This window comes from Homo sapiens, chromosome 9, assembly GCF_000001405.40.
Source record: "Homo sapiens chromosome 9, GRCh38.p14 Primary Assembly".
Lineage (NCBI taxonomy): Eukaryota > Metazoa > Chordata > Mammalia > Primates > Hominidae > Homo > Homo sapiens.
This window is the reverse complement of record NC_000009.12, coordinates 42,739,908-42,762,028: the sequence shown is the minus strand read 5'-3', so window position 1 is coordinate 42,762,028 and position 22,121 is coordinate 42,739,908. Positions and strand designations below refer to the sequence as shown.

General features: G+C 39.5%; 1 pseudogene, besides 1 other annotated feature; it reads right to left on the bottom strand.

Moving 5' to 3' along the window:
- Positions 5,065–9,286, bottom strand: CNTNAP3P7 (CNTNAP3 pseudogene 7; annotated as a pseudogene).
- Positions 18,681–19,181: an enhancer, noted in NCBI's record as "H3K4me1 hESC enhancer chr9:44227771-44228271 (GRCh37/hg19 assembly coordinates)". NCBI's record gives its function as "activates a minimal SCP1, AML or CMV promoter by ChIP-STARR-seq in primed H9 embryonic stem cells {active_cell/tissue: H9 hESC(primed)}" and the evidence as "EXISTENCE:reporter gene assay evidence [ECO:0000049][PMID:30033119]".

The window sequence follows — 22,121 nt, the reverse complement described above, 5'->3', positions numbered from 1 at the left end:
AAGCAAAACCAAACAAAATGCTGTAATTATATTTGACTTCACTTCTTACTTATACATACATATATATGTATATATGTATATCATTGGTTGGGCATTTTTTACCAGTCATTTATTATCAAATGTTTATGTAAAGTCATTGATGCTAGAAAGTCATAATTTTAATTATTGCATTACCTCTACAATTTCTTCTTTCATGTTCATTTTAAAATGATGAAACTGCTATCAGCTAAGTTTTTTAAATCAAAGTAAAAGGAATCAGAATCTTGATGTCAGTCTAGCCTGTACCTGACCTGCAAACTCCCTAAAAAGGAAAAAAAAAAAAACTGTATTTAAAACTTCTCATGTAGAGTCAAGGATACTTTTTAAGTCCCCCTTCCTGGAATATTGATTACTTAAGTGCTTTTCCAGAATCTCTGAGCTCAGTTACAGTCAGACCTTCCTATCCATAGGTTCTACATCCATGGATTCATCCAGTCATGGATAAAATATCTTCAAAAATTAAAAATAACACAAATTTTAAAACAGTATGTAAAACAACGATTTATATAGTGTTTACATTGCATTGGGAATTATAAGTAATCCAGAGATTATTTAAAGAGAGAGTGTATGTGTGGGTTACATGCAAATACTTCATCATTTACATAAGGAACTCAAGCATCCATGGGTTTTGGTATCCCCAGGGAGTCCTGGAACCAATGTGCCACCAATACTGTGTTAAGTATCAAGACAAATGGATTAATGATAAGCTGTGTCTTCTCTACAATTCTTTCACCACGTTTTTCCTTTAGAAAAACACTAAAGTAAGTATGAAAAGCTTTGGCTCCAATTTCTCATAAATTACTTAAAATTTGATATTTACAAATATAATTATGAATTATAAGTTGATATCGTATTGCAATAACATTTTGTTTCTATAATCATGCCTCTTTTTAATGTGATTTTCTCGTGTATTTTAATATATTGCAGAAATGCAATAACTGAAGAACTTGTTTTTTGTACAGTGAGAAATTTGTATACAAAGTCTTCTACCATAATAAAAAAAATGAAGAGGAGCACCAAAACAAGTAATTTGCCAAGAGTCAGTTTTCCTTGGATTCGTATATTCCAATTCCCCTGCCACCACCCCACACAGACATGTTCACATTTGCCACCACTCTCTCACTGCCTGCAATGAGATCTAGTTAGCCAGAGATGTTTTTCAGGCTTTTTCAGATATTATGTTCATGTTTTGACTTGCCATGTAGCATAGTTAAGGAGGCCTGGCTTTGTTTTCCTACTGTGAAAGGTTTGGAGAGTTTGATGTCCCACTGGGCTGAATGATTGGCAGTCAATTCAACTTTCTTCCTCATGTAGGTATGCATAAGTGACTTCTCAACTATTAGAAAGTTACTTTTAAGTAGGATTCACTTGAGTAATAGCCACCTTAATATTTCTCTTCTTCTCTTAAAAGGAAGAGAAACATTTGCCATATAAAATACTGTATATCTTATTTCAATATAAATAGCAAATTTGATTTTTATTATTCATATGCAATACTAAAGACCCTCAGCAACATTTCAAATCAGAGTTTCACATGAAATATGTAAAACTGCCAAACTTGAACTGAAAGGCATCTTAATTTCATCATTGAAATGGTAACTTTCGCAATAAATATTTTGAATATTACTGAAAAATAAGAGAATGAAAGTTGGAGGGCATGTCATTTTTTTATCTGTAGCTTGAACACTGCGATGATCCACCTCATTGCCATAATGTTTTTATAATTTAATTTTCTCATTAACTCTCATTCACTTTGAAAAATATGTGCCATGTTGCACAAGGATAACCAAAAGATATTCCTCAGAGAAGGCACACACATAAATCAGTAAGCTTGGAGCTCATGTCTGTTATGTAGTTTTGGAATTATTCCAAAGACTTACATAGTTTGCTATGTTTTGCTGTAACAAGAACTTAGATTGTGCTCCCTCCAGCCCTCAAGAATGCGGTGTCTGCCGGGCGCGGTGGCTTCTGCCTGTAATCCCAGCACTTTGGGTGGCCGAGGACGGAGGATCATGAGGTCAGGAGTTTGAGAGCAGGCAGTTTGAGACCATCCTGGCCAACATGGTAGACCCCGTCTCTACTGAAAATACAAAATTAGCCGGGTGTGGTGGCATGCGCCTGTAATCCCAGCTACTCAGGAGGCTGAGGCAGCAGAATCACTTGAACCCAGGAGGCAGAGGTTGCAGTGAGCTGAGATCACACCACTGCACTCCAGCCTGGGTGAGAGAGCAAGACACCGTCTTGGTGGGGGAAAAAGAATGCAATGTCAGAGCTCATCAGACCCATCATATGTGAGTTACTGACCTCAACCACTGGATTTCAAAATACATATAAACATAAGAGCTCAATGAACACTTTGAGAACTTCAGTAAGTCTCAGCCACTTCTCCAAAAATGGAGAGCATATTCTGTGACAGGGCTGCCCTGCCAGTCACTTCTTGGAAGGCTGAACTCATGCAGCAACAGCGCCCCACCCTGTCAGCCGCTGAGCTTTGAAGACTCACCTGCATCACTGGCACCACCGACTGGTGTCAAGGGACCCTAGGTGTCTTTGAGGATCTCCATGGTGTCAGACACCATCTCTCCAGAGAATTCGCTTGAAAAAAAGGTGCACCTCAAACTTTCATTCGATTTGCCTTTCCACAGAGGTCTGCTTCTATTTCTACTTCAGGAACTAGACTTTAATATTTGGAACTCACTCCCTCTGTGGTTAATGTGCTTCATCTTTTGAGTGTATTCCCTGTAGATTTGTTCACATTATTCTTCTCCTTTTCGAGCATTGTGAACTTAAGAAAACAAATTCTCCTTGCATGGCAATAACCATGTGATTTGTGAAATCATACTTTGAGCATCTTATTTTAGCCATACAAAATAGCGTGGCTCAGAAATTCAATGTGATCGTTTCTCTGGTCAGTGACATATCCCCATGAAGTGAAGCAGCAAGGCAGTAAAGGAACAGGGGTTTTAGTTAAGGGGTAAAATGGGTAATCTTCTTGGAAATTACAAGCAACTGAATAGCTCATTCCAAAATATGCAGAAATCTCTGAAATCATACATACTTTTTATGTTAGCAAAACTTAAGTGCAAGGAGTCATAATTTAGGTTTATTTAAAGAATGTCTCCAGTCTTGAAATAACCTGGGTGATAAAATAATAATACAATCTTTACTTTTATCTACTTGTTTCTCTTTAATTTTAGCACATTTAATATGACGTAAAGTAAAATATAACAGTTCTTCAATACATATTTTTCAGAACTAAATAACATTTAAGGGAGATATCCTGATAGTCTTCAAAATATTTTCACCTTAGATTACATATCATTATTTTTTGGTATTAATTTCTAATTTAAAGCTATTTTTCCACTTAGGATCCTAGTTTTTATTTAAATTTTATTTAATTTTTATCTCCTCTTTTTTCATCTATTGTTTTACAGATCGCTTACAATAATTTTCCCTCAGTGCATAGAAAGGAGTGAGCTTGACAACCACCCACCCCCTTGAAAATCAATAGAAGTTGTCTTTTATAATAAAGCTCTCCCTTATTTACTGGAGAAGTGAAGCTAAGTATACAGATGCATCAGCCTGAGTCAGAAAGAGAAGCAGATATTGTTCAGCAGGAAGCCAGGATAGTGGGATTTCCAACTTCCTCTAGGTCGTTTTGTGAAAGGTGGTATCATTTTATGTTAAGACAAATTCCCAGAAATGTTACCACCCTCCACACACACACACACACACACACACACACACACGGAGGCAAGGAGGAGGCTACTGTGCCTGGGCACTTGCCTAGGCATTGCCTGAAAATTACAGATAATTGTCACTAACCAATCTAATTGCAACTGTTAAAAGAAATAACCCTCAATTCAGAGTTATTTCCTATTCAAATGCAATACAATTTTTGTTTCTAATATATTAGGTTGCACAGAAACACTAAGATTGTACTTAAATATGGACTGAGGACCATTTTAAACATTACAGTAAAGTAGTGATCACAATTTCATCTGGTTATATTAAAAGTGTTCTGGAATGGTATTGGGAATTGATTTTTTCTTTTTTTGAGATGGGGCTCTCACTATGTTGCCCAGGGTGGTCTCTATCTTCTGGGATCAAGTGATCCTTCTGCCTCAGTTTCCCATGTAGCTGGTACTACTGGTGCATGCCACTGTGTCTGTCACATTTTTTAAAATCATAAACTGATTCTAAATTATAAATAAATCAAGAGGAAAGGCAGAGGACTTACTATGCTGCTATCTTGACAACATCAAAGTAATTAATCCCCAAAAGTTTATTCAAAAATCACAAGTTGTTTCCATCTTAGACCCAATTTCTGTACCAAATAAAGCCTATTTTACTCCATAATGAAAAGTACAGATAATGAAAAGTACAGAGCCCAATGATGCTTAAATGATGCTATGTAATCTAATAGCTTTGATGAGTCAGTTTCCAAGATATATAATTATATTCAAAGAGTTCTGTCTGGTTCTGTTGATACTACAATCAAATTCTTCCTTCGCTGCAGACAACAACTTGTACTTAAGCAGAAGCTGAGTCATGCCCCCCACTATACGCCTCTAACAACAGATATGCAAAAGTCTTAGAGCTAAATGTCTGAGTGGTCCTGTTTTATAACAGATCAATAGTTCCTGAAATTAGTATTTGCCTTCCAGGCTAAAATATTTTTTCTACAGTGTTCCAAATATTCTTGCATTTCTTAAAGTCATTGTCATAAATAGCAATGATGCTTTGATAATCCTGATAACAAACTACTTCCAAACTGCAGCAACAGAAGGAAAGTGGTAGGATATACAGAAAATCTTTTGAGAAATCCAGAGAGGACTGATACTAGACATAAAAGCAATAACCTGTGGCTTTTCAAGAAGAGAAGCACATTTCTTCCCAATTAAAACTAGGAATTCTCAACAGATATAGTTCACTTTCAAGTGACTAGAATTGTCGCATTCCTTATAATATCAAATGAAATATTCTTTGTTTCCTATGTTCACCGGCTCCTTGGTCACACTTACTATTTGAGCAGAACAGTCCAACATACATCGAGAAGGCACAGTCACAAGCGATCCCTCTGCGTTTCTCTCACATCTCCCTCGGAGGTGACACATGTGGCCATAGCTATGCAGTGTCCAGCATGCCCTTGCTCCACTCTTGGAGTCACTGTGGCTCTTTCTTTCAGATCCGGGATCGTCCCTTTCAACTGCAGAAAATGAATGCATTCCAGAAAGCCTGGGTCTGCTGGCCATTTCACCTGCAAGGGAAGCACTGCAAATACAAACACATTCCTTTGTGTTTTATTCAAGATTTCATCACCCTGTCAAACTGAGGCCTTATGGAGAATAGCAGAAACTGTGATCACTCAAAAGGTCTCAAGAACAAATATAATTTTGGAAACATACATTTAATGAAATGTTAAGTAATGGCAAATTACTTCATTTATTTATTTACTATATATATTCATATTTTACTTGACACATAATAATTGTACATATTTATGGGGTACAGTGGGATATTTCAGTAGATGTATACAATGCATAATGATCAAATCGGGGTAATTAGCATGTCCATCACCTCAAACCTTTATCATTTCTTTGTGTTGGTAACATGAAAAACCCTCTCTCCCAGCTATCTGAAAAAAAAGACAATACACTGTTGTTTACTGTGGTTACCCTATAGTGCTGTACAACACTAGAACTTATTCCACCAACTAACTGTAATGTTGTGGAAGACAATACTGACCACATTTGTGAAATATTATCCTAATATGAATGATAATTATAGGTGGGGTTTTATGCTAACATAGCTGCCAAGAACTCCATAAATGAATGCCCACAATTGTAAGTGAGAAAACAAGATTATTCAATTTGGTCTGTGTGTGTGTGTGTGTGTGTGTGTGTGTGTGTGTGTTTCTATTCTCAGGCAGGGAGTTGGTTTTAGTTCTTTTTTTAAGAGGCCCAAACTCATGCTACTGTAAGAATTAACTGCAAGTTAATTATTGCAAGTTGAAGTTATTTATAAGACTATGGTATGTATATGCAGACACACAATTCTGAATTCACTGTGTAATATTAGTACTCAAAATCATATATATTGTACAGGAGAACAACCTGTGTGATAATTCATGAGTTATCTCAGTCTCTAATTGGACAGTACAATTATTTACTTTAAAATAGATTAGAAATCACCAACAGAGAGCTTTTTTTTTAAACTAAATGCAAGCAGAGTAAAAAGAAATGTAGAGTAGAAAGAAATGAAGCAAAATATAGGTCTTCCTTTGGGAAAAAAGTCAAGACACAAAAGCAGTTGAAGAGGTGTCTTTCATTTCCTAGAGTGATACACATATTTAGTAGTTCAGTAGTTAATTTTTGTTCAACAGCCATATTGAGGCTTTATTGGCATATAATGAACACACATGCTTAAAGTGCAGGACTTGTTAAATTTTTACTTATGTATACAACCATGAAACTATCATCACAATTAAAATAAGGAATATATCCATCAACCTAGCAAAATATTCTCCTCCCTCTTGATAACCCCTCCCCCATAACCTCCCTGCTTCCCTCAAATCCCTGGCAACCACAGATCTGATCTCTCTCATGATTAGTTTCTATTTTCCAGAATGTCATATAAATGGAACCACATAGTATTTACTTTTCTTTATCTGGCTTTTTTCTTTCAACAGAATTATTCTGAAATTCATTAATGTGTGATATGTATCAATAGTTCATTCCTTTTTATTGCTGAGTAGTATCTCGTTGTGTGAATATAGCTCAATTTGTGTGTTCATTCATTTGAAGATGGGCATTTGAATTGTGTCCAGTTTTCATCTGTTATAAATAAGCTACTATGACCACTTATGCACAGATGGTCATATGAAAATATCCTTTCATTTCTCTTGGGTAAATATCTAGACAAGAATAGCTATGTCATATGGTAGGTATCTGTTTAACATTTAAGAAACTGCCAAATTGTTTTGCAGAATGTTTGTCTTTATGCCAAATTGCTTTGGTTGATTTTATTATGGTAATCTAAACTTGAATTACTGGTATAAGTCAATTTTTTGAAACTTTGTTAAGATTTTTTTGCATCTGTGGTCATGAAGGACTGTATTTTTACTTTTTAAAAATGTCTGTCTAGGTTGGGCATGGTGGCTCACGCCCATAATCCCAGCACTTTGGGAGGTCAAGGTGGGTGGATCATGAGGTCAGGAGGTCGAGACCAGCCTGGCCAACATGACGAAACCCTGTCTCTACTAAAAATACAAAAAATTAGCAGGGCATGGTGGTGGGCACCTGTAATCCCACCTACTCAGGAGGCTGAGGCAGGAGAATCACTTGAACCCAGGAGGTGGAGGTTGCAGTGAGCCAAGATCACGCCACTGCACTCCAGCCTGGGTGACAGAGCGAGACTCCGTCTCAAAAAAGAAAAAAAAAAGTCTGTCTGAATGTGGTGTCAGAATAATGCTGGACTTGTAGAATGAGTTCAAAAGTATTCTCTCCTCTTCAATTTTCTGAATGAGTTTATGTTTATTTGTTATTTCTTCCTTAAATTGCTAGAAAACTCCAGCGAAGCCATCTGGGCCTGGAATTTTTTTGTGGGAAGGTTTTTAACAATAAACTCAATCTAATTAATAGACTATTCATGTCATCTATTTCTTCTTGAGTCAGTATTAGTAGTTTACATCTTTCAAGGAATTTGTCTTTACTTCTAAGCTGTCAAGCATACTGGCATACAGCTTTGCATTGTAATCTCTTATTATGCCTTTTAATATATGTAATGTATGTAGTGAGATCACCTCTCTCATTACTGATGTTGGTAAATTTTGTCTTTTTTTCTCTCATTGATGGCAGCAGCTGCAGCCATCATGCAGGCGACAGCAGGGAGGCATGGCTGGGCCTGCATACTCCATGAAGCTGGTGGGAGCCCCACCCCTTCTGAGTTGGGGTATGAGTTCTCTGGTGTGGCTGCAGACCCAGGCCTCCTGCTCTATGGAGCAGGCTGTAGCCCAGCCCAAACTGCAGCTGTGGATCCAAGCTTCCCTGTGCTCTTGGAGGGGGCTGGGAACCGACAGGATCTGCCCTCCTGGGTACAGCTGCAGCCACCCAACCCACTGCTGCAGACCTGGGCTTCCGGCTCCATGGAGCAGGAAGGAGACGGAGACAAGCAGAAGCCCCGCCCCTTCTGAGTTGGCTGGGTGGGAGCTCCCTGGGTGCAACTGAGGCCACCGTCTCAGGCGCAGGACCCTGGCATCTTGGCAGCCTGCACCTGCCACCCCCTGCTGGCTCTGGGATGTCTGCTCTCACTGCCTGGCCTCTCTCCTCTTCTGGCACCCGCTTTAATCTCCCAACAGGGTTGGTCAAGCCCTGGGGCCTTGAATGGCAGGGGGAGGGAGAGTCCTGGGCAGAAGCAGATGGGTCCCCAGTAAAGCCCCACCTTCAAGCCGGGGAGGGCCTGAAGGCTGGGAGCCAGACTGCCAATCCTGTGGACAGGACTGGGGATCTGTCCCTCCTCTGGGCCACCAATGGCTGCTCATGGACCAATTGGCAGGTACTTCCTCCCCTCTGAGGTCCATAAAAGCCCTGGGCTCTACCAGAGAGGGCAGAGGACAGAGAGACGATGGGACGACCAGCTGCAGAGACGAACTCTCCCCTCTACTGAGAGCTTCAGAGACCTGCAGAGACCTCCAAATGACCAGCCTGCAGAGAGGAGCCACACTCGCCAGGGCCTCCTCTCTGCTGAAAGCTGAACACTCCACCGGACGACCTGCCTGCAGAGAGGAGCTACCCACTGTGCGTCTTCTCTGAGCTGTTCTAACACTAAATAAAACTCCTCTTAATCTTCTTCGCCCTTCCTTTGTCTGCATACCTCATTCCTCCTGGATGCAGGACAAGAACTCAGGCAAAGATGCCACTGTCCACAGAGGTTTCTGGGCAAGAAAATCAAAACCCCAAAGATCCTGTAACATCATGATTGGCTGTCTCCACATTTACATCATACAATTCAATTACAAACCACTGCAAAGCAGCACTTATTGATGAAGAGCTGGCTCGTGAGCTGTAAGTGGACATGCCATCAGTGGTGGCAGGTTGTAGCTTATTAACTTGAAATGATACTTTTTTTACATTCCTCTCTGCCCTCACATGGTGCTAATAATTGTCATAAAAGGGAGTATATGACTCCACCATGACCTCAAAAGGCCTATTCCTCATCTTAAAGGAAAATGTCACTTTCCTGGTGCTAGAAATTGTAGATATGAGAGTTGCTCAAGTTCATTTATAGTGAAGAAAATTTAATAGTGTATTTATACAAGCCTAACACTATGAAATGCATTTATTTATTAAATACTATGGAAGGAGCTAATGGCAGTGATCCAGAAAACATATCCTTTTCAGTTGAGATAGAAGAGCAAAAGAAATCTCTATTCCTATTGCAGAGAAAAAATAGTAAATATATTTGCTCATAACAACATAACTAAACTGTTTGTGGCTTAATAAATAAAAATATAGTTATTTAAAGGTGGTTCAAGGTTTCCTATATAATCTTACATTCCCCAAATGTGAATTTGCACAGTAATGAATTAAAAATAAAACAAAGCAATATTACTTGTCAATTCAATCAAATAACTTTGTAATTTAGCAGAAAATAAATTGCACCAGTTTGGTTTAAAGCCCTAACTACACATCTATAGTTTCCTTAAATTAATTAAAAGAAGTCATGCAATTTTCACAGAATATCACATGCATGTTATCCATTTTAATTTCTCTTAAAAATGGGTTAGTTGCCATTATCAAACTTTAGACAAGAAATCAAACAGATAAAGTAACAATGAAAGCAACTTAGACATTAGCTGAAGGGTTTATTCTTAATTGCTGAGTACCCATGCTTTATCCACAAAGGGTGATTTACCATTTCTGTAAACTGATAGTGAGTTATTCAAAATGGAAATTAAGAATACAATCCCGGCTGGGTGCGGCAGTCACGCCTGTAATCCCAGCACTTTGGGAAGCCGAGGTGGGCAGATCACCTGAAGTCAGGAATTAGAGTGACCAGCCTGATCAACATGGTAAAACCCTGTCTCTACTAAAAAATACAAAAAAAATTAGCCGGGCATGATGGCGGGTGCCTGTAATCCCAGCTACTCGGGAGCCTGAAGCAGGAGAATCGCTTGAACCTGGGAGGCAGAAAAAAAAAAAAGAATGCAATCCAATTACAATAGCAACAAAAAACTTATAAAATACTTAGGCGTAAATTTAACCAAGGAGGTGAAAAACTGTACACTGAAAACTATAAAACACTGATGAAAGAAAATGGAAGAAAACACAAATAAATGGAAAGATATTTTATGTCCACAAAGTAGAACAATTAATAGTTTAGTTTTTATTTTTAATTTTTATGAAAACATAACAGTTGTACATATTTATAGAGTACCTGTGATATTTTGATACAAGCATACAGTGTGTAATGATCAGATATGGGTAACTGGGATATTCATTACCTCAAACATTTATTGTTTTCTTGTGTTGAGAACGTTGTGAAATACAAAATAAATTACTGTTAACTATAGTTGCCCTATTGTGCTACCAAACACTAGATCTTACTCCTTCTATCTATCTAACTGTATTTTATATCCATTAACCAACCCCTTTTCGAGCCCTCCTCCCACTACCCTTCCCAGTTTTTGCTAAACACCATTCTGTTCACTACCTCCCATTTTTTTAGCCCACACATATGAGTAAAATCATGATATTTGTCTTTCTGCATCTGGCTTATTTCACTTAACATAATGTCCTCCAATTCCATCTATGTTGCTACAAATGACAGAATTTCATTCTTTCTTCTGGCTGAATAATATTCCATTGTGTATATATACCACATTTCCTTTATCCATTCATTCATTGATGGATACTTAGGTTGATTCCATATTTTGGCTATTGTGAATAGTGCTGCTGCAATAAACATGGGAATGTAGATATCTCTCTGATACACTGAGTTCTTATCTTTTGGCCATATACCAACTAGTGGGATTGCTGGATCATATGGTAGTTCTATGGTTAGTTTTATTGACAAATCTCCACAGTGCTTTTCAGTGTGGCGATTTCCAGTAGCTGTACGAATTTACATTCCTACCAGCAGTGTATGAGTACTTCCCTTTCTCCACATCCTCCTTATCATTTGTCATTTTCTGTCTTTTTGATAATAGCCACTTTAACTGGGGTGCAAGGATATCTCATTGTGATTTTGATTTGCATTTCTGTGATCATCAATCATGTTGAGCATTTTTTCATTTATGTGTTGGCCATTTGATTTTCTTCTTTTGAGAAATATGTCTATTCAGATCTTTTGCCCCTTTCAAAATCAGAGTATTTGTTGTTGTTTTTTTTTTTTTGCTATTGAGTTGTTTGAGCATCATGGTGTATTCTGATTATTAATCCCTTATCAGATGAATACTTTGCAAATATTTTCTCCCATTCTGTAGGTTGTCTCTTCACACTGTTGATTTTTTCCTTTCCTGTGCAGAAGCTTTTTCACTCGATGTAATCCCATTTGTCAATTTTTGCTGTGGTTTCCTGTGCTTTTGAGGTCTTACTCAATAAATCTTTGCTCGGACCAATGTCCTGAAGGATTTTACCTAAGTTTTGTTCTAGTAGGTTCACAGTTTTGAGGCTTACATTTAACTCTGCAATCCATTTTGAGTTGATTTTTGTATATGGTGAGAGATCAGGGTCAAGTTCCACTCTTCTGCATATGGTTACTCAGTTTTCCCAGCACCATTTATTAAAGATACTGTTGTTTCTCCAGTGTATGTTCTTATGGCCTTTGATGAAAATCAGTTGGCTATAAATACATGGATTTGTTTCTGTGTTCTCTATTTCGTTCCTTTGGTGTATATGTCTGTTTTTATGCCATAAACATGCTTTTTATTTTTTATCACTGCAGCTTTGTAGTATATTTTGAAGTCAGATAGTGTGATGTCTCCAGCTTTGTTCTTTTTGTTCAGGGTTGCTTTGTATATTCAGGCTTTTTTGTGATTTCACATGAATTTTAGGCTTGCTTTTTCTATATCTATGAAGAATGTCACTTGATAGGAATTGTCTTGAGTCTATAGTTAACATTGGGTAGTATGGACATTTTAACAATATTAATTTTTCTAATCATGAATATGAGTTTTTTTATTTTTTGTTACCTCTTCAATTTCTTTTATCAGTGTTTTACAGTTTTGATTGTACAGATCTTTTACCTCTTTGGTTAAATTTACTCCTAGGCATTTTATATTTGTGTAGCTAAGGTGAATGGGATTGCTTCCTTGATTTTCAGATTGTTCACTATTGGCATATAGAAACGCTACTGGTTTTTGTATGTTGATTTTGTATTCTGCCACTTTGCTGAAATAGTTAACCAGTTGTAACAGCTTTTTAGTGAAGTCTTTAGGTTATCCTAAATATAAGATCATGTCATTTGCAAACAGTGACAATTTGACTTCCTCTTTTCCAATGCTCTTTATTTCTTTTTTAATAGCTCTGTCTAGGACTCTTTCACCACTTTTCAATAAAAGAAAACGATGTGATTGACCATTTTTCAATAAAAGTGGTGAAAGTAAATATCCTTGTCTTGTTCTAGATCTTAGAGGAAGGATCTTAGGGAAAGTGAATATCTTTGTCTTGTTCTATGTTAGAGAAAAGGCTTTCAACTTTTCCCTATTCAGTACGATGTTAACTGTGGGTTTATCATATACGAACATTAATGTTTTAAGGTATGTTCTTTTTATACCTAATTTGTTGAGAGGGTTTTTTTTTAATCACAAAGAGGAGTTGAATTTTATCAAATACTACTTCTGTGTCTATTGAGATAATCACAAGGTTTTGTTCTTTATTCTCTTGATGTGATGTATGTGATGTATCACATTTATTGATATTTGTAGGTTGAAACATCCTTGCATCCCTGGGGGAAAATACCACCTGATCATGGTGTATAATCTTTTTTCTGTGCTGTTGGATTTTGTTTTCTAGGGTTTTTTTTTAGAAGAGTTTTGCATTTATGCTCATTAAAAATATTGGCCTATAGTTTTCTTTTGTTGTGTCCTTGTCTGGTTTTGGTATCAGGGTAATGCTGGCCTTAAAAAAGATTTGGAAGCATTCTCTCCCCTTTGATTTTTCAAAACAGTTTGAGAATAATTGGCATTAGCTTATCTTTAAAAGTTAGGTAGGATTCATCTGTAAAGCCATATGGTCCTAGACTTTTCTTTGTTAGACTTTTTATTACTGATTCAATCACATTATTCATTATTGTTCTATTCAGGTTTCCTGTTTCTTCATGGTTCAATCTTGGTAGGTTATATGTGTCCAAGAATATATCTATTTTATAAGTTTTCAATTTGTTGATGTAAATTGTTCATAATGGTCTGTAATGATCTTTTGTATTTCTGTTTTATCAGTTGTAATATCTCCTTTTTATCTCTGATTCTATTCCATTGAGTTTTTCTTTTCATTAGTCTACCTAAAGATTTGTTGATTTTGTCTACCTTTTCAAAACAATATTTTCATTTGGTTGATCTTTCATATTTTTAGTCTCAATTTTATTTATTTTTGTTGTGATCTTTGGTATTTCTTCTTCCTGTAATTTTGGGTTTGATTTATTCTTGCTTTTCTAGTTTCATGAGGTGCATCATTATATTTGAAATATTTCTACCTTTTTATATAGGCATTTATTTCTATAAACTACCCCTCTTAGTACTGCTACTGCTTTTGACATATAACGTAAATTTTGGTATGTTGTGTTTCTATTTTTATTTGTTTTAAGAAATTCTTAAATATTCTTTTTAATTTCATTATTTGCCCATTGGTTGTTCAGGATCATGTTGTATTGGTGCATTTTCCAAAGTTCCTCTTGTTATTGATTTCTAGTTTTATTCCATTGTGGTCAAAAAAGATACTTGATGTGATTTTAATTTTTAAAAATGTGTTGAGACTTGTTTTGTGGCCTAACATATGGTCTATGCTGAAGAATGCTCCATGTGCTCATGAGAAGAATATATACACGTTCTCCCGCTGTTGAATGACATTTTCTGTAAAAGTTAGGTTTATTTGCTCTAGAGTGTAGTTTAACTCCAATGTTCCTTTGCTGATTTTCTCTTTGGATGATCTGTTCGGTGCTGAAAGTAGGGTGTTGAAGTCTCCTATTATTGAAATGCAGTCTGTCTCTCCCTTTAGATCTAGTATTTGCTCTGGTGTTGGGTGGGTGTATACTCATAATTGTTATACCTTCTTGCTGAATTGAGGATCTTTTTATCATTATATAATAACCTCCTTTGTCTCTTTTTAGGATTTCTAATGTGAAGTCTATTTTATCTGATAAAACTACAACTACTGCTGCTTTCTTTTGCTTTCCATTTGCGTGGAATATCTTCATGTGTCCTTACGGGTGAGGTGAGTCTTTTGTAGGCAGCATATAGCTGGGTCTTTAAAAAAATACCTCATTTAGCCACTATGTATCTTTTAACTGCAGAATTTAATCCATTTACATTCTAGGTTATTATTGACACGTATGAACTTACTCTTGCCATTGTTAAAGAGTTTTCTAGTTGCTTTGTAGAGCCTTTGGTCCCTTCTTCCTCTCTTGCTTTCTTCTCTTGTGGCTTCATGGCTCTCTGTAGTAGTATGTTTTGGTTCTTTTCCTTTTATCTTTTGTGTATCCATTACAGGTTTTGCTTTGTGACTACCCTGTGGCTTACATAAAACATGTTATACTTATAACAGGTTAATTTAAGCTGATAACAGTTAATTTTGATTGCATACACAAACTTTTCACTCTAACTTCCTTTTCTCCCATGTTTGATGTTTTTGATGTCACACCTTACATCTTTTTATAATAACAAAAATAACATAAGTAATAATTTCATATAAAATAATATAAATAAAAATAATAGGTCTCCTCAGCCACTCAGGCCTTTGCTGCTCCTCCAGAGAGGGACTTGCAAACATTTAAAGAATTTGCATGCCATAGACAAGGCCAGGAAGAACTGTGACTGGATTCACAAGCCCTTCCCAGGCCTTACTGGGCATCCTTACCTGGTGCCCACAAACAGGGAGTACTTAGAACATATTTTCTGGTGCCTCTGATGACAGGCACTGCTTTGGACTGGAGTGGAAAGTAGGGCACCAACCATTCCTGGGGCCTTCACTTTATAGCCAGATGCAGTCCTCCCCCCAACCAGGGGTCTTAAGAAACTTTTTGGAGACTCATTGGGCCAACCAGACCCATGCAACAAGGTACCCTTCTCAGGCCTTCATACCTGGCCCCATCTGAGCAGCCCCCAAGGCCTTCCTGACCACTGGCTCCCATCCAGGCTCTCCCCAGTTCCATGGTCCATTCAGATTTGTCCTGGCCTCCAGAGAGGGGTTTAGATACAATTTTGCAGGGTGCCTCCTATGACCAATCCCCACTCAGTCCACCAGGTGGAAGGGATGCCCTCCCTGGCCTCCATGACTAGTTAGGGAATGTCTCAGCTAGCTAATTTGAAAAGAGAAACGTTTTCGGGAGTGCTGTATGCATCTGTGCTCCAGACAAAACTGTAGCCATGACAGAGACCCTTCCTGGAGGCTCCCTGTCCAGCTTTGACTGATCTCTGTAGGAAATACAGACTTTCCCATAGGGGAAGTGAGAAACTCTTGGAGGCATTAGCTGTATTTTTGTTTTCATGTAGTTCAAAGAATTATTTTAATTTCTGTTGAGATTTCTTCTTGACCCTTATGTTATTTAGACGTGTATTTCTGAATATCCAAGTATTTTGAGATTGCCCAGCTATCATTCTATTACTGGTTTGTATAATAGGTTCCAGTGTTTTCAGAGAGCAGGTATGGCATGGTTTTTATACTTTGAAATGTGTTAAGGTGGGCTTTATGGCCCAGAATGTGGCCTATCTTGGTGAATGCTCCATGTGAGAGTGAAAAGAATATGTATTCTGCTGTCATTACACTAAGTAGGCTACAGATGTGAATTACTTCCAGTTCTTTGATGATGCTGTTTAGTTCTACCATATTTTATTGATATTCTATCTATTGGATCTCTCCATTTCTGGTAGAGGGTGTTGATGTTTACAACTATGATTGTGAATTCTTTTATTTATCCTTGCAGTTCTATCAGTTTTTTTGCCTCACATATTTTAACACTCTTGTTAGGTGCACACACATTAAGAATTGTTATATTTTCTCAGATAATTCACTTTTTGTTATCAAGCAGTGCCTATATTCATCCAGAATTATCTTTTCTCTCCGAAGTCTACTTTGTCTGAAAACTAATATAGCTGTTTCAGCTTTATTTTAATTATTGTTAACCTTGTATATCTTTTTCCATTTCCTACTTCAAATCTATATGTCTTTGCATTTAAAGTGAGTTTCTTTTAAACAATGTATAGTTGGGTCTTTTTTGTGGGGGATCAACTCAGATGAACTCAGTCTTTAATTGGTGTGTGTAGACCATTGACATTAAAGGTGATTACAGATGCAGTTAGATTGGTATTTATCATGTCTGTTATTATTCTCTATTTGTTGTCCTTTTTTTTCTTCCTATTTTTGCCTTCCACTCTTTTCCTGCCTTTTGTGGTTTTAATTGAGCATTTTATATGGTTCCATTTTCTTTCCCATTTAAGCATGTAAATTCTTCCTTTCTTTTTACTGTCAAAAAATCTTTCTATTGGTTGCCCTAGATTTTGCAATGTACATTTACCATTAGTACAAGTCTACTTTCAAGTAATACTATATTGCTTTATGAGTAGTGCAAGTATTTTATAATAACAAAATATTTCTAACTCTTCCCTCCTATAGTTTATATCATTGCTATTATTCGTTTCACTTATCAATAAATTATAAACATCTAATAACTATTGCTATCATTATTTTGAACAAATTATTTATTAGCTGCTATATCAATTGAAAATAAGAAAATGCAAAGTTTTTACTTCACATTCATATATTCATTTTTTATATTCTTCCTTTATGTAGATCCAAATGTCTTACTTTTCTCTTAAGAACTTCTTTTAACTTATTCCAACATTTCTTGCATGCAGGTCTACCAGCAACAAATTGCCTCAATTTTTGTTTTCTACAAAAGTCTCTTCCAGGCACGGTAGCTCACAGCTGTAATCCCAGCACTTTGGGAGGCCAAGGCAGGTGGATCACTTGAGGTCAGCAGTTCAAGACCGGCCTGGCCAACATGGTGAAAACCCACCTCTACTAAAAATACAAAAATTAGCTGGGCGTGGTGGTGTGTGCAGCCAAGATCACGCCATTGCACTCTGCACCCCAGCCTGGGTGACAGAGTGAGTCTCCATCTCAGAAAGGAAAAAAAAAAGTATTTATTTCTCCTTCACTTTTGAAGACTATTTTGTCTAAGGCATTCATGGTATCGCACTATGATTCTAATTTGCATTCTCATGAATTTGCTATTTTCATTTACTATTTCATCATGGACATCTTTCCATGTTAATACATGTAAGTCTACCGCCCTGAAGAAATAAACCAAAACATAAATTAACGGTATTGTATAGATGTACCAGAATTTTTTAAACCTGGCTTTTCTGAATGGCTATGTTTTCTTTATTTTTTGTTATGACAAGTAATGGTGAAATCAGTATTCTTATCATCACACATGTATTTGCACCGATGTTCCCCACACCCATTTGTTGTCATTTGACTTTGTCCTGGTACGTGCACAGATAAATTTTCTTTAAACTTTATGCTATCAAGTTAATCAATCGTGTCCTTGATGGCTTTCGAGTTGTCTTTGTTGTATACATGCCTTTTTATTTTTATTTTAAGAGACAGCGGTCTATTTATGTTGCCCAGGCTGGTCTCAAACTGCTAGCCTCAAGCGATCCTCTCGCCTCAGCCTCCCAAGTCGCTAGGATTACAGGCGTGAACAACCGTGACGGGCTCTGTTCTATGCTTTAAAGATCTTCTCTGTTCAGAAATTTTAAAATTAAAGTGTTTTCAACAAAGCTTTCATGGTTGCAGTTTTTCATCGCATACCTGAGGGCGCGGTATTTTCTAAGTCCACTTGCGAGGCTCTGGAAAGCCCGGCCTGGCAGGGCGCCCGGCCCGCAGGCTCGCGGTTAGCTTTTCCACGGGCCAGACTGGGAGTCACGTAGGGAGAGTCTGTATTCTTTATTCTTCCCAGCAGTCAGCCTTCCCTTATGCTGCTGGGGACGCGTCATGGTGACCTGGAGCTCCGAGAGGAGCCGGACGCTCTCCACCCACCCATGTCTGAAAAGCGATCCGACGTGGACTGCAGCCGTTTGCGCCGGTTGTCGGGCTCCACCTGGCGGCGGATGTTATGTATTGCACTTGTTCTCTGGAGCTCCCGTGAGAGAGAGAAGTGGCCGCTGTGCACCGGGTCGAGTTCCAGGATGTCCCTAGCGTTAGCAGGATTGTTCCGCCTGCTGGCAGAGCATTCGCTCCCCATCTGTTCGTGGGAGCTTGGACCTGCAGCTTAAGCTCGGAGGAGGCTCTTGCCTCGCTCTTAGCCCTGGATGCTCTGTGGTGGGGCAACATGCGGGTCGACCAGCAACCCCCAGTGCCTGCCCCTCCAACACAAGACCTATCGGGGTCAACACGAACCATCTTGAAAGGGTGTTTGGAGGCCTCCCCGCGTGTGTCCCCATACCAGTACCTTCCATTTGACCCCATTTTCCTCAAGTTCTGCCTCAGAGGTGGCAACCGGCAGCTGTACTCAGAGGACGGCGGAGGGGTCTCCACCAGCCTGGACTAGGTCCCGCGTCGGACCGCCTCCTCAGACCTGCCTTTTCCGAGGTCCGCTTGGGAGGTGACAAAGGACTGGAGAAGAACCAGGTGCCCCGGGGAGGGTGTCTCAGATTCTGTCTGTGTGGAGCAGGACCCTTATGTTTTTGGCCTCTTCCCACATACCTTAACCTCTTCCCAAATACTGGGAATCCCAGGGTTCATTTGGCTGCCGAAACTGTCCAAGCTCTAGGCTGCAGGCACCAACCTATTCCAGTATAGTCCTTTGCTCCAGGACACCTGGGCCGCTTTCCTGAGGGAAGAACATTCTCTTTATCAGGCAGAGACCCTGGCCACCCATGCCATTCACAAGCTGTTCCTGCCAGATCTGCCGGCACTCAGTCATCCTGGGCCATCAGGCTAGTGAGTTCCGGGAGATGGTGAGTGCTCAGGTGTGTGTGTGGCCGGCCAGAGGTGTCAGAGCCCCAAGTAGCTGGGAAGTAGCCAGAGGAAAGCCAAGTCCCCAGTCATCTGATGCTAACCTCGAAATTCTCATCCTTCTCCTTCCTCGTGCATTGCTCCTTCCAGGCATTCTTTAATCACAGCTGTGTTGGAGGCTGGGATTCCAGGCCCAGCACTAACAGGGTACAGCCACAGCTGCAGCATCTCACAGTGACCTAGAGCCTGGCCCAGCTACCCAACTCAGGCAGTTCATCTAGCACAGCATCCCTGGGAGGTGGCCACTGTGAGATTCACTTCGGATTAGGAACTGAGGCTCCAAAGCCACAAATGACTTGCCCAACATCAGGCAGAAGGATTAGAATTTAGGTCTGCTGGCCTCTAAAGCTGTCTCTCAAAGAATAGACCATCAACCAAGGAGACAGCTTATTTCCAGGTAATACAATGAAGTAACGTAACTACAAAGAAGGATGAGTAATCATGGTGGGGGCAGGATGGGGGGGGGCTGTCCCTGCATCTGTCTCTTCTCTTCCTCCTGCCCCCAGGCCCAGCCACTGAACACGCTCCTGGACCTTGACGTGCTGGGCTTCCATGTTGTCCTGTCTTGGCTCAGACACCACAGAAGGATCACTCCCCTTCCAGTGATAATGGAGTTCTTCATTACTAAAGTGTACAGTCATGAAATCCATTACTAACCCTGAGACTCTCAGGCAAGAGGTGACAGGTCAGCTAAGTGGGAGAACAGTAGCAAAGTCTAATGGAATAAGACGGGGAGGCTTCCAATCAGAGAAGGACAGTAAACACAGATACAAGCTGGGTGGCCTCCACACCTGTATTCAGTCCCCCAAGGTACTGTGGGGAAGAAGACATCTGCAACTCAGTAAAATCACATCTAAATCCTTAAAAAGGATTCTTCTCCTCTATACATTAGTCAAAACCCTCATGGGTACTTTATCCAGATATGAACATAAAATAGTATTTTCTGCACATCTAATTAGCAATAATTCAGGACCATTACAATAGTCCAGGTGGCGAGGACCAGTGAGATCCTTTGATGCTTCTCTTGAAAAATGTACATGGTGCCACTTTTTGCAGCATCATTTGGCAATATGTATTAAGAAGCTATAAAATGTTTACAGCCTTTGACCTACAAATCGTACCTCTGGGAATTTTTAGGAATATAATATTCAGAGATACTGACAAAGACCTGTGTACAGAATGTTCGTTGCAAACCAGCTCTGTTCTATGCTTTAAAGAGCCCATTATTCACAATAGCTGAAAATTGGAAGCAGCTTCCATGACCAATGAATAGGAAAAAAGTAGAGAAAATCGCTGGGGTGGGGGGACTCTACAATAAAAATCATAATGCTTTCCAAATGTTTTAGAAAGAATGTTGATGCTACGGGGGAAATGAGGGAGCTTCCTAATGAAGCATATTAAACTTAATAGATCTCAAAGGCGACTCTTGTTTTCACACTCAAATATGGCTCTTCCTTTTCTTCTCTCAGTGAAAAGCACTGAGTTGGGAAAAGTCCCCATCTTCTCCCAGTTTCTCAAGTCAAAAATCTAGAATTTGTTCTTGATTCTTTCCTTTCTCTCTCACTGGACAGCCACTGCTACAATCAGTCCTGCTGGGGCTGCTTTCAAATGAATACCTCTGGGCCATCCCCTTCCCTATCTTCACCCTCCCCCTTCCTCATCTTCCTCTCCTCCCTCTTCCTCCCTCCTTGTCCCTTATCTACTCCCTCCTCTCCTTGCCCTTCTCTTCATCTCCCTTCCCCTATTACTCCCTCCTCTCCCTATCTGCTCCTGTCCCTCCCCTTCCCACCCCACCTTACCCGGCCATCACTTCATTCTCACTAGGTCTCCTCTCTCAGGGATGACCCCAATGTCCTTCTGCTACTTGAGGGGCTCCCAGCTTCCTTCTTTAGCCCAGAGCCCCTTCTGTGCCCACAACCAGAAGCCTCCCGTGGAATGTAAGTCCTTCACTCACTCCCTGTTGGACTCCCCACCAGTGGATTCCTTGCTACTTAGAGCAAAACACAAAGCTCTTCCTGTGGAACTGAGCTTCGACTGGTGGGGGACATAAGAGGCAGCCACTGGTCCAACCAGCCAAGGCCTAAAGCTTGCAGAAGAGAAATTCTCATTAGCAGAATTTTCAGTCGTTGGAGCTGAGCTGCAGGATGTTTGAGTGTGGACACCTAGCACAAAATGTACCAATGGGGGGCTGGTCCGAGTCTTCAGTCCCCTACCATGCTCCCCACCTCTACTATGTGCTCCTGTCACTCTAGCTTCCTTCTGCATGGAATGCCTCCTTTCTGTTTTCTGTGGTCACACCTCTGCACTGAGCCCCATGAGACCCACCAACTTCAGAAGCTGCCCCTGACACCTCTGGCAGTAGGCAGGTGTGTCCTGTGCTGTCCATGCCCTTCCTTTGTACCTATAAGCTGGTGACTCTGTTCTGTAGATAGTTAGGTCCCTGTCTCATCTTCCCAGCCGGACTGTGAGGTATTCATGGTGGGATCTATGTCTGATCCATCTCAGGGAGTCCCGTGGAGCTTGACCTAATGCCCGGCATGTGGGAATCCCGGAGAGGAAACAGCATGTGCAAATGCTGGAGATCTGATGGCACCTGTGGCAATACGGAAGATTCCATGTGTGTAAAGGGCAACAAAATAGAGCAGTATTAGATAAAATAAATATTCTTGAGTGCATACTGATATAAATAAATGATTAAATAAGTTAATGAATGAGGGAAAGGAGATAAATTTCCCATGCAGGATTTCAAATGAATTATGTTATATATTCCATCCCAAAGGAGAGCGAGAATAACTCCCCACTCCTTAAGTGTGGGCTGCACACAGTGACTTAGTCTCCAAAGAG